This window comes from Homo sapiens, chromosome 20 (assembly GCF_000001405.40).
Source record: "Homo sapiens chromosome 20, GRCh38.p14 Primary Assembly".
NCBI lineage: Eukaryota > Metazoa > Chordata > Mammalia > Primates > Hominidae > Homo > Homo sapiens.
In genome coordinates, this window is record NC_000020.11 from 51,216,187 (window position 1) to 51,229,325 (window position 13,139).

Sequence of the window (13,139 nt, forward strand, 5' to 3'; positions counted from 1 at the left end):
TGGGTTGCCTGACCAAGGCTATGTTCTTTTGGCCTTGGCTCCAAGCTGCTTTCTTTTTGAACCAGCAGCTACTTGGAAGTTTATATGTCACAGCAATGGCAAAAATCCAGAAACAGAAGGCTAACTGCTCTGGCCTCTGCCTGTGTTCCATCTGCCCAAGTCCTACTGGCTGAAGCAGGGCACATGGCTAAGCCCAAGGTCAAAGGGTGGGAAAATACCCTCCTCTTCAAGTGGAGGGACAGCAAAGTCACATGGACAGAGGGAATGGTGATGAACTGAGAACCATAATGTAATCTACAGAAGAAGGCATAACACATTCTCATGCCTACTAGGACCAAGCAAAGCATGATACACAAGTAAAGATGCTGGATCAGATTGATGCAGAGATATTTTGAGTTCATAAAAATACAGGCATGTTTATCACAATCACGAGACTTATAAAATGTACCCCATTTTCTGGAAATATTTGGCCCACAATCTTACATTTTCCCACTTCTGATGAAGACATGGATGCAGAGAATGACCTCTCTACCTTAAGAATACGAAGAGTATTGACAATGGGCAGAGCTAGAGAGGCAATAAGGAGTAGCAAGAGGGGTGGCAAAGCAGAAACCAAAATACCTTGTCTGAAAGGTACAGCTATCCCTTGATTTCAGCCCATTCTTGTCAGATGGTATATTAGTCCATTCTCACACTGCTATAAAGAACTCCCTAAAACTGGGTAATTTATAAATAAAAGACGTTTAATTGACTTGCAGTTTCACAGGCTGCACAGAAAGCATGACTGAGAGACCACAGGAAACTTACAATCAGGGCAGAAGGTGAAGGGGAAGCAGGCACATCTCCTTGGCAGGAGCAGGAGGAAGAGAGAGTGAAAGGGGAAGTGCTATACACTTTTAAATAGCCAGGTCTTGTGAAAACTGTATCCTGAGACAGTACTAGGAGATAGGGCTAAACTATTAGAAACCACCTCCATGATCCAGTCCTCTACCAGACCCTACCTCCAATACGCGGGATTACAATTCAACATGAGATGTGGGTGGGGACAGAGAGTCAAACCATATCATTCCACCCCTGGCTCCTCCCATATCTCATGTCCTTCTCACATTTCAAAGCACAAGTATGCCTTCCCAAAAGTTCCCCAAAGACTTAACTCATTTCGGCATTAACTCAAAAGTCCAAGTCCAGCGTCTCATCTGAGACGAGGCAAGGTGGAAAGGACTTTGACTACATGTCTTGCATCTTCTCACAGCTCCACTAGGCAGTTCCTCAGTGGGGACTCTGTGTGAGGACTCCAACCCCACATTTCCCTTCCTCATTGCCCTAGTAGAAGTTCTCATGAGGGCTACACCCCTGCAGCAGACTTCTGCCTGGACATCTAGGCATTTCCATACATCCTCTGAAATCTAGGTGGAGGCTCCCAAGCCTCAACTCTTGCCCTCTGCACACTCACAGGCTTAACACCACATGGAAGTTGCAAAGGCTTAGGGCTTGTAGCCTCTGGAGCAGCAGCCTGAGCTGTACCTTGGCTCCTTTTAGCCATGGCTGGAGCTGAAGTGGCCATGATGCAGGATACCATGTCCTGAGGCTACCCACAGTAGCAGGGCCCTGGTCCTGCCCCAGGAAACCATGTCTTCCCCCAGGCCTCCAAGCCTGTGATGGGAGGGGCTGCCTCAAAGGTCTCTGACATGCCCTGGAGGCATTTCCCCTATTGTCTTGGCTGTTAACATTCAGCATCTTATATGGTACTTTTCTCCCATAGCCAGGATTCATGGGTCCAGGAATCAAGGGGTAGAAATGGAAGTGGCCCCACTCACCATCACCCCAAGGAACCCACTAGCAAAATTTTTGCTGCTTGTTACCACGACATTATGTTCTGCTGGCCTAGAGGTCTTAGTTCCAGAGGGAGGAATGCTGCCACCAGGAGACACAACAATGATTCCATTAAACTGGAAGTTAAGATTGCTGCCTAGCCACTTTGGGCTCTTCCTGCCTCTAAGTCAACAGGCTAAGAGGGGACTTACAGTGTTGGCTGGGGTAATTGACCTGGACTATCAAGATGAAATCTGATGACTACGCCACTCCTGGTACCAATCTTCTGTATTAATCCCTTCTCACACTGTTATTAGTCTATTCTCACACTGGTATAAAGAACTACTCATATTAGATGGGAACACAGGCTCAGCATAACATGGACTTTGAGATGTCAATAGAGGCTAAAAATTCAGATTTTTATGTGAAATTTTCTAACTTTAAAATGTTGAACAAACAAAATCCATTGACAGGTAGGAAATGAACTATAGGCCAGCCACCACACTATAATGTCTGTTCTCTAAGTTTGGATTTCTGAGGTTGGCAGAACTTTTCTTTTCTACTCCCAAGTGGCCACCAAAGGGGCAGTGGTTTCTGGATATGTCTTTGAGATGCTAACAGCCAGTTTCCTTATGAGGAGTGAGGTCAATAAATTCAAAGATGCTAGAATGCTTTCCTCCTAATTCTCCTGCTTCCATAAAAATCCAATTCAATTTAAACTGCAAGGCATAGTGAGTTGTAATTACTATATTTATAAAAATTATATATAATTAGAGCAGGATTTCAGGAACCAGGCCAATTCTCCCCCAGAATGTACACTGAAAAGCACATTTTAAAGAACAAAAGATGCTCTTGGGTAGGGCTATCATGTGACATCTCCCAGGCCATTTTGGTCACTTGTTTTTAGCGGGCTAAGTATAAGTTCTTCCTGAGCTCTTTGGACTCAAACCATTATAAGAACATTAAAATTTCTTTCTGGAGATTATAGGTAGAATAATTGTATTTCCTGAACAAAAAGTCAGGTCATGTGGTTAGCTGAGAATCTGCATGCCCCTTACACAGCCAGAAGGCAGTGTGAGGTTGGAGACTGACAAAGGTGGATTTGGAAATGAGAGGGAGACAGAAATGACTGCTGGTGGTGGGATGGCCAGGTTACTTCTGAGTCCCCAGGTCCTCTCCAGGTATGTGACCTCTTTGAGAGAGGCAGGGAACAAAGCCCTGCTAGTGGAGGGATCAGGTGGCTTTGGTTTCCAGTTCCTCTCTGGTAACTCAGTTGCCAGGTGAGATGCAAGGGACCAGATACCCAAAGGGCCACCTTCTCCTCAAACCCGAATCTCAGGGCTTATCAGTTTCCATGCAAGAGGGAGCCCACAGAACTTTCACCCAGGCCAGCACATCTGGAGCCAGAAATCACACTGCCTGAAGCTGAGCCTGCTCAAGGCTTCAAATGAGACCCTGCCTGCAGCCAGCTGTGTATCTCACCTATCTACCCTGCCCCAGCAATCCATAGTTTGGCTTGCTAGTCCCTGCACAGAAGGTGGCCTCACATGCTTTGAGACCTTTGCATGGTTTGTGTCCTCTGCTGGGGATGCCATCACCTCCTTTGCCCATTTATCAAGATCCAGTCATCACATTGTCTGGGGTCTTTCTCTGATGCCCACCCCATGCAGAATCCAGCACTCACTCTTCTGGGTGTATACAACATGGCACCTCTTGCGGGATGTTGCAATAACTTTTTTAAGGTCAGATGCTCCAAACAGCAATGGCTTGAGCTAGGTACACTCATTTTCTCTCAAATCACAGGAGTAAGTAGTCCAGGGCTGGTCTGGAGTCCCTAGTGCCAAGGAAGCAGGCACTTGCTAGTCCATTGCTCCACCATTCCTAGGGGTTGCCCTTATCTGTATGGACCCAGACACCATTGCCAAGTCAGAAACTCCAGCCAGTGGGATGGGGAAAGGGGAGAAAAAAAAAAGAGGGCTTGCCTCTTTCCTTTAAGGACATGGCAGGAAGCTGTACTCATTCATTCGTTCAACATATATTCATGGGGTGTTTTTCACATGCTAGAAACTGTTTTAGATACTGGGGATGTGACAATGAACAGGACTTACAAAAATCCCTGCCACTGTGGAGTGTCCTATGGGAGGTGAGGGGACCGAGAGACGTTAATCAAATAGGGAAATACAACGCATATTCCAGGTGGTGTGAAAACTGCTGAAAAAGAGGAAACTTACATCTTAGGGAACTTCCGGCGCAGGAAGGGTGCTCGGGCTGTGGGGGGACTTTTTGCATTTAATTAAAGAGTATGGATTGTCATTGCTGGTTAGCAGGAGGGTGCAAGGTTTAGCGAGGGTGTGACTGACAACCCAGGAGCGCCATGCTCCATCCGTCCTGCAGGTGGCGCGCCTGAGCCCGTGCACGGCAGCCTCTCCGGAAGGTGAAGCACGCTGCCGCACTGGGGGCCTGCCTGGGGCTCTGAAAGCCCATTACGCTGTTCTCCTTGGGGTCCTCTTGGTGGCATGGACCCACCTCCCCCAACCCCCACCCAAAGCCTAGGTAGTTCTTGTGGAAGGTGCATTTCATCTTCAACAAGAGAAGATCCGTTTTTCCCGAAGTCTCTATTTCATCTATTTTTCAGGAGCGGAGGCTCATTTCTCCTTCCTTGGATTTAAGACGCTCTTGTTACTTCTTTTTTATTGCTTCATTTGAAATTGCAGACAGTTCCGACTTTTTGTTTTTGTGTTCCCAGGTTTTACGGAACACTCTCTGGCTGCGTTACAAAGCTCTCCCAGTTTCTCTCTCCCACCACCAGCCCCGCTGCCCCACGACACCGCCTGCCCTAGACTATAAAATGGCAATCATAATCCATACCTCATGATGCCCAAACAAGATAATGTCTACAATAAGTAAGGTTGCCAGATTCGGCAAATCAAAATACAGGACACCTGGGTTTAAGGTGTCTGATAAACAACGATTTTTTAAAGTGTGTGTACCAAATATTGCATGGGACATACTTACTCTAAAAAAAATTATGAATTATCGTATGAAATTCAAATTTAACTGGGTACCCTGTATTTAATCTGGCAATTTGAACATAAGGAGCTTAACACAAGGCATGGCCTGAGGTCACAGTAAGTGCCAGGGACAATGATGAGGGTGACGATGACTTTAATTCTGATGAATGCGCACCCCAGGATGGAAGCAGGGGTGCGTATTCATAAGAAGGGCTTTCTAGAGCAATGGAGGCCTAGGCTAAGTCTTGAAGGACTCCAATCATGTGTGCAACAAATATTTATTGAGCACTTATTAAGTGCCGGGCTCTGTCCCAGGTGCTAGGGATGCAGCAGTGAACAAAACAGATAAAAATCACTGCCCTCATGGGCATGATTTATTAGTGGGGGAGACAGTATTTACTCTTTATTTAAAGAAGATAAGCAAAAAGAAGTATTTACTCTTTATTTAAAGAAGATAAGCAAAATCTATAGAGTGTCAAATGATGCTAGGGAGAAAACATAAGTAGAACATGAAGTGTTGAGGTGAGGTGAAGTTTTGGAGTGGGTGGGAAGGACAAACTTACTGAGAAGTTGGCTGAAGTAACAATGTGAAGAAAGGAGAAGAGCTGTGAGATATTTAGGGGAAGCTCATTTCAGAAAAGGGAGGTAGCAAGTGCAAGGGTCCTGCAGTGGAGGGCACCTGAACGTGCAAGAAACAGCGAGGACGCCTGGGTGGCGGGAGCAGAGGGAGCAAGGGGTGGGAGGGGAAAAGGCGGCTGGGTCTCACAGGGTCTTGGGGCACCAGAAGGACATTGAGTGAGAGAGAGCCACTGTGGGGCTCTGATATAATCTGACCTGCGTTCCGATAGGATGTCCCTGGCTGCTTGTGGAGGATAAACTGCAAGGCAGGAGCAGAGAGACCCGTGAGGAGGTGACCGCAACAATCCGGGTGAGACAGGACGGTGGTTGGGACCAGGGAGGAAGGTGGTGAATACATTTTGAAGGGAGTGCTGATAGGATTTGCTGCTGGTTCCAATTTGGAGAGGACGGGAGAGAGAGAGAGAGAGCCAGGGGGAGGAGGGGAGGACACTACTAATGCCTACTTAAAGAGAGTTAACCAGATGGAGAAAGGGAAAAGAAACAATAGCTGAGGCAATCCCGGCAATGATTGCTTCAGCTAGGAAGTGCCTTGCAGCGAGGATGTGACTTCCAACCCGCGCGGGACAACCTGTTTCTCCACCCTCCCAGCTGGATTGTGGACACGCCTGTCATGAATCCTGCCTCCCCACACTGTCCTGCTGTGAATGAGATCAGCAATCTTTGCTGCCCTGGTCGCTTGCAGCAAGAGACTGCTTGGCCCCTGTGCTGAGAGAGCACCCTTGCCCAGGGCAGAGAACCTCCCCTGCCCTCAGGAGGCCCGGGAAGATTTCCTGGGCTGCCTGAGTCTAGCCATTGCTCCCATGATCCATGGCCCATTAACAAACCACTCCAAAATTTAGGGGCTTAAATAGCAACCATCATTTACTTGGCTTACAAATAGGCTATTTGGGCCAGGTTCCGTGGGGGAAGGCTCATCTCTGTCCTCACAGCATCAGCCAGGGAGGCTTTTCTGGGGAAGGGAGTGTCTGCTGTCAAAATCTGGCAGACAGGTTGGTGCTGGCTATTGCCAGGGATGTCGACTAAGAGCCTTTGGTTTCAAATCCCAGCTCCAGCAGGTGCAGCTGGGTGATCTTGAAAAAGTCCTTCAATCTCTCTGTGCCCCAGTTCTCTCATCTGTAAAGTGGGGATTGTCGTAGCACCTATCTTATAGGGAATTCACAGAGATAATACATTCAAGGGATATAAAGCAGTGTCTGGGACATAGTGCTCAGTAAGTATTAATGATCAGTATTAGTATTGTGATTTTTTCATCGTAACGAGGAAAAACTCACAATGCAGTAATTAACAATTTGTGCATGCTTCCCCGTCTCCATGTCTCCATGAGTAGAGTTTTAAAGGAGGTTTTAAAAAAAGTAGCTCACTAGTAAAACTAGCTAATATATGTTAATCATAGAAATTTAGAAATAGAAGAAGAAAATTACCCTAGGTAATTACTGTTGCTATCTTGGGACCATTTCTTTCCAGCGGTGGTTCTCTTTTGTTTCATTCCCCCTTATTTTAAAGCAGGGTTAGGAGAAGAAAGAAAGAGGAGGGGGCAAGTGTATGAACGAACATGCCAAGCAGAGTCAGGAGCAGAAATTTCAATACATTCCAATCCACCCGGGACAGAAATGACTTGTTCTAAGGTTTGAAATGACCCCCTTCTCTCAGGTGAGAATGACCATAACTCCAGGGGTCCCATGATGCGTGGAGTTCACCATCTTCAGCAAGAATGCGGTGTGGATTCACAGCGGGAGTGTGTTCGCCTGTGCATTTTACATTTCAAACATTTGTCACTCAAGAGCATTGTCCAACAGACCCCTTCAGGGAACCAGGCCAGGAAACGCTGAGTTCAGAGAGGGGCTTTGATATCTGAGAATGCAGTGAAAGAGATGTTTTTGATAGAAGAGTGATTCTCGGCTGCTGAATAAGAAATAGTTCTCATCCATAATGCATGGCCCTTTAGAAGACAGAAAGAAAAGTCAGTCTAAATGTAGCATAGACTGGAAAAAGATGAGGAGTGATTTAGCATGCCATTCAGAAGAGGCTAGTCCTCTTCTCAGCTAATTCATGCTTCCCCCAGGCTGACTGAGGAAGGCCCCCTCACTGGGGGCTTGCATGGTGTCTGTTGGTGTCAGGAAGAGGTGCAAAGGAAAGTGTTAAGTGGCAAGGAGGACGGACCTAACAAAAGACAGATCGAGACCAAACACGGAGGATGTTTTCTAACTCAAAGATGATTTTCCTAAATATTCTAGATCCTTTTGGGGTTTTTATTTTGGGATCCTGATTTTAGCTGTAGTGTTCATCAATGGAAGCACAACTAAGAAAAGTGGTGAGGGGCAACATATGGGTTTGGAGGCCTTGTCTGAGTGACATTCCTGTTGGCCTAGTGGTCTTCTACATGGCACCCAGCCACAGGATGGAGCCTGTTTAATAATCAGGTGATGTTTCTAGAGCCTGGACAAGCCCTTTGTTGTTATCATTTGTTTGCTCAAGCATGTTGCCAACAGAGGACTTCCCAGGGTCCTCAGCCTCCAAAACAGGTTAGTTTTGGAAACGCTGTGGGAAAATATTGGTAGTGGGTCGAATACTGTCCCTCTGAAAGATGGGTCCAAGTCCTAACCCCAGGCCTCTGTGAATGTGACCTTTATAGAAATAGGGTCTTTGCAGAGGTAATTATGGTAAGGACTGAGATAATGTCTGATATGGTTTGGCCATGTACCCGCCTAAGTCTCAAATTATAGCTCCCATAATTCCCACATGTTGTAGGAGGGACTGGTAGGAGGTAATTAAATCATGGGGGTGGGTCTTTCCCATGCTGTTCTCGTGAGGGTAAGTCTCACGAGATCTGATGGTTTTATAAAGGGGAGTTCCCCTGCACAAGCTCTATCTTGCCTGCCACCATGTAAGACATGCCTTTCACCACAATTGTGAGGCCTCCCCAGCCACGTGGAACTGCAAGTCCATTAAACCTCTTATTCTTTATAAATTACCCAGTCTTGGGTATGTCTTTATCAGCAGTGTGAAAACACACTAATACTTCCTGGAGTTAGAGTGGGCCCTAAATCTAATGACTGGCATCCTTAATAAGAAGACAAGAGGACACAGAGAGAGAAACACAGGGCAGAAGCTGTGTGAAGATGGAGGCAGAGCCTGGAGAGAGGCTGCCACAAGCCAAGGACTGCTGAAAGCCACCAGGAGCTGGAAGGGGCAAGGCAGGATTCTCCCTGGAGTCTTTGGAGGGAGTGTGGCCCTGCTGGCACCTCACCTTGATTGCAGATGTCTAGCCTTCAGAGCTGTGAGAGAGTAAATTAAATTTCTGATATTTTAAATCCCTGCAAGTTTGCTGTGATGGCCTTAAGAGATGAATCCAGTATTTTAGGCCTAAATCTCCCTGGTCTCATTTTGTCCCATTCCCTTGTCACTTTTATGTGTCAGCCAAAATGGATGGATTTCTGGCAGTTTCCAGTTCTTTTTTTTCTTTTCTTTTCTTTTTTTTTTTTTTTTTTTTTTTTTGAGACGGAGTTTCCTTGTCACCCAGGCTGCAGTGCAGTGGCATGACCTCAGCTCACTGTAACCTCTGCCCCTGGGTTCAAGCCATTCTCCTGTCACAGCCTCCTGAGTAGCTGGGATTACAGGCGCGTACCACCATGCCCAGCTAATTTTGTATTTTTAGTAGAGATGGGGTTTCACCAAGTTGGCCAGGCTGGTCTCGAACTCCTGACCTCAGGTGATCTGCCCACCTTGGCCTCCCAAAATGATGAGATTACAGGCATGAGCCACCACGCCTGGCCTGGCAGTTTCCAGTTCTTTCCCATGTTCTCCCCACTGTGCCTTCCCCCACACTGTCCCTGGCTATTGTTTCCAGCACTGATACCCCACCCCATCTGCCTTTCAGAATTAAGCTCTCCTAGTCAAGACAGCCTTCCTGACACCACCTCCACCCCAGCATATATTCTGTCCTGTGGTTGTACCATGGCCCTACTGAGGCTGGGTATGATTATTTATTTGTGTGACTGATCTGTCCCTCTCATCAGGCCACATGACCCATTCATTCATCAAATTGTTACCAGTGGAGGGTGTCCAGGTTCTTGGTGTTTTGAACATGGAATTGGACAAAACGCACAAACAAAGCAAGGAAAGAAAGAAGCAACAAAAGCAGAGATTTATTGAAAACAGAAGTACACTCCGCAGGGTGGCAGTGGGCCATGCAGCTGCTCAAGGGCCAAGATACCAAATTTTCTCAGGTCCAAGTACCCCCTAGAGGTTTCCCATTGGCCACTTGGTGCTTACCCCATGTAAATGAAGTGGTGGCTCACAATCTGTCTGATTGCAGAAAGCAACCAATCAGAGGCTGAAGTGAAGTTACAAAGGCCACACTCCTATGCAAACATCTGATTGGTTGCGGAAAGCAACCAGTCAGAGGCTAAGGTGAAGTTACAAAGCTGCACTTCTATGCAAACTAAGACTTGGCTCCCGGTGCCCCACCATCAGTCTGATTGGTTGTAGACAACAACCAATTAAAGGCTTAAGTGAAGTTACAAAGTTACACTCCTGTGCAAACATCTGATTGGTTGCAATCCCAGCACTTTGGGAGACTGAGGTGGGTGGATCACGAGGTCAGGAGTTTGAGACCAGCCTGGCCAATATGGTGAAACCTCATCTCTACTAAAAATTACAAAATTAGCTGGGCGTGGTGGCGCGTGCCTGTAGGCTCAGCTACTCGGAAGAATCGCTTGTACTGGGTAGGTGGAGCTTGCAGTAAGCCGAGATTGAGCCACTGGACTCCAGCCTGGGTGACAGAGCAAGACTCTGTCTTAAAAAAAAAAAAAAAAAAGGTGGGGATTTGCAAAGGGAGTTGCCTCTGGTCCTTTTGTTATTAGGCGTGGAAAGTTAGGGTTTTCCTTTCTATTTAGTTCTAGGAAGTCAGCGTGAAATAGCCTTAGGTTCCCTGCCTCCAGACCCTTTTCTCCTGCCTCAAAATACTTACTGAACACCTGTGTATTGCAAGCACTAGCCTAGGCATGGGCCGGAGAAAAGGGAACTTAGTATGAGAAATCTTCTTTTAAAATAGTATTGGTGTTCTAATAGATATTAACAGCCTATAAGGGATATGGTGGCTTTAAGAATTAGATGGAAAAGCATGTCAGTAGCTTAGAACAGTGCCTGATCCACTGTAAGAACTCAATGAATTCTAGTTGATATTATGGATTCTGTTACTGGGAAGTTATTATTGGAAGAAACAGCATGTGGTCCAAACAGAACATGTCTTTGGGCCAAATCCTGTTATTCTTTTGTAAAGCAAGAGAAGAAGGAAAGTGCTGGCCCTGTGGAAGATTGCATAAGCCTCTTTGCCACTGTCTCCAAGTCTTTGGCTCTGTGTCTGTGTGTTGCATGCAGCCATGTACACTCATGCACACGCACACATGCACACACGTCCATCCCTGTAGTCCTGTGTCTGCTGTCTCACCCCACACCGTTGGCCATGGCAGCCAGCTCTCCCAGTGGTTCTGGGGCCACAGAGAAAGTTCTCAGAATCCATTTTCTTCCAGGTGTGAGTGGGCAGGAGCAGTAGGCAGGCCACGTGCCCACATTACAAACCTACAGGAAGCCTCTTAATCACCACGGGCTTGGTCAGTAGACCTTGTTTCTGTTCATCTCTGGTGCATCACCTGTAGTGCAGGTGGATCCCTGGTAGGGGGCTGAGATGATCTCCATCGACTTGCATTCGTGTGACATTGGCTGTGACGTGGGAAAGAAAGGTTCTATTCAAATTCCTTTTCCACTCCTCCCCCTACCTCCCATGACTTCAGGAGTTGGAAAGGCAAGGTGAGTGAAAAATCAGGGAATGAAATGCAGTTTAAATAAAGAGTTTGAAGCAGTCCTCGGACAGTATCCCTCTCTATGGCAGATGCACCTGACAGCGATCCCTTAGGCATGCTCTGAGAATAGTGCACCTGGATGTGTGTTCTGAGTTACCAGCTAAGGAATCCAGATGTGGCCAACCTGGAGATCCATTCCTGGTCTATGAGGAACACCTGAGCTCCTCCGTCCCATCCGTTGGAACATGGATAGAGGCCCTGTGTTTTGGGTTGAATGACGATTGCCAAGTGGAGGTTGTTAGGAGGAGGATGCTAAGTGAAAATGCTGTATCAACCACATGCCTTTGGCAAGCAGTTGCGGTTTTTCTGCCCAGGCTGCTGCCACTGGACTGGGGGTTCTGCTGTCCAGCCCACCACGACTAGACTCTCTCCCCTGTACATAAGCCCCCAGTGAAACTCCATGGCTCCTTTGCTGGCTCTGGGTCTCTTTGGGCTCTTGAACCTGGTGCCATCCCCATTAGAGTGGATGGGGGCTCAGCACAACATTCTCCCCTGGGAGGAACAGGTAGGAACCCTTGGTGAGCTGGCCTCATCTAGAGGAGGGATCTGATGGTTGCATGGCCCACGCAAATGTTTCATTAGGCTCATAAGATGATTTGAAAGTTCTGAGTCAGTTGTCAGTGTTTTGAAATAGGCAGATTCACAAGAAGATGCTTGTCCTGGCTTTTGCAAACATAAAGAGCTCTGGTCGCACCAGGCCTGGTTCCCACCAGAACTTGATGGGTCACAGTGAGCCTCCATGCTCTTTTATTTTTAAAATTTTATTATATGTAATGTATATGTATACATTTATATTAAAATATAAAATTATATGAAAATAGATAAATTATATGATAGATACAATTTTTATATATTATATATGTTATAATTAATATATAAATTATAATTAATATATAATATAGAAGATATTACTATCTATTATATAATATAAATGTTCTATATAATATAAATTATATATACATGACATTAATATATAATATATTCGTATTCATATACAATATGAATTTATATAATATATAATTATATCTATATTGTATTTATATAATATATAACATGTAATAATATATATTTATATACACATATATGTGTTATATATAATATACAGTAACATATTTACATATAATTAATAGGTAATACTATATTAATTATATATAATATATAATATATCGATATGTGATAGTGTATTAATATAATGTAATATTAATTTATTACATATTAATTACATAATATATAATATATAAATTGATACTATATAATATATAATATCTATCATATAATATATAAATGTGTGTTATATATTACTAACATAATATGTTATCAATATATAATATATATTATTTAAAAATTTATCTTACATATAATAAATATTAATTATATAATTATATAAATTATATTTATTATATGTAATTAATATACATTATATATTTTTCTATAATTATATATAACATATATTAATTATATATTATGTAAAATATATTTATATATAAATTGTGTGTGTGTGTGTGTGTATAGTGGTGAATTGCATAATGGTGATGTCTGAGATTTGAGTACACCCATCACTTGTTTAGTGTACATTGTACCCAATATGTAGTTTTTTTTATCCTTCACCTGCTCCTACTCTCCCCCTCTGAGTCTCTAAAGTTCATTATGCCACTTTGTATGCCTCTGTGTATTCATCGCTTAGCTCCCACCTATAATTGAGAGCATATGGAATTTGGTTTTTTTTATTCCTGAGTTACTTCACTTAGAATAATGGCCTCTAGCTCATCCACATTTCTGCAAAAAACATTCTTTTGTTCTTTTTTATGGCTGAGTA

At 44.7% G+C, this 13,139-nt stretch overlaps 4 annotated features.

Annotated features, from left to right (window-relative positions):
• Positions 4,123–4,182: a silencer, noted in NCBI's record as "silent region_13039". NCBI's record gives its function as "represses an Ori minimal core promoter by ATAC-STARR-seq in GM12878 lymphoblastoid cells {active_cell/tissue: GM12878}" and the evidence as "EXISTENCE:reporter gene assay evidence [ECO:0000049][PMID:35858748]".
• Positions 4,243–4,292: a silencer, noted in NCBI's record as "silent region_13040". NCBI's record gives its function as "represses an Ori minimal core promoter by ATAC-STARR-seq in GM12878 lymphoblastoid cells {active_cell/tissue: GM12878}" and the evidence as "EXISTENCE:reporter gene assay evidence [ECO:0000049][PMID:35858748]".
• Positions 5,442–6,116: an enhancer, noted in NCBI's record as "NANOG-H3K27ac-H3K4me1 hESC enhancer chr20:49838165-49838839 (GRCh37/hg19 assembly coordinates)". NCBI's record gives its function as "activates a minimal SCP1, AML or CMV promoter by ChIP-STARR-seq in naive H9 embryonic stem cells {active_cell/tissue: H9 hESC(naive)}" and the evidence as "EXISTENCE:reporter gene assay evidence [ECO:0000049][PMID:30033119]".
• Positions 6,117–6,790: an enhancer, noted in NCBI's record as "NANOG-H3K27ac-H3K4me1 hESC enhancer chr20:49838840-49839513 (GRCh37/hg19 assembly coordinates)". NCBI's record gives its function as "activates a minimal SCP1, AML or CMV promoter by ChIP-STARR-seq in naive H9 embryonic stem cells {active_cell/tissue: H9 hESC(naive)}" and the evidence as "EXISTENCE:reporter gene assay evidence [ECO:0000049][PMID:30033119]".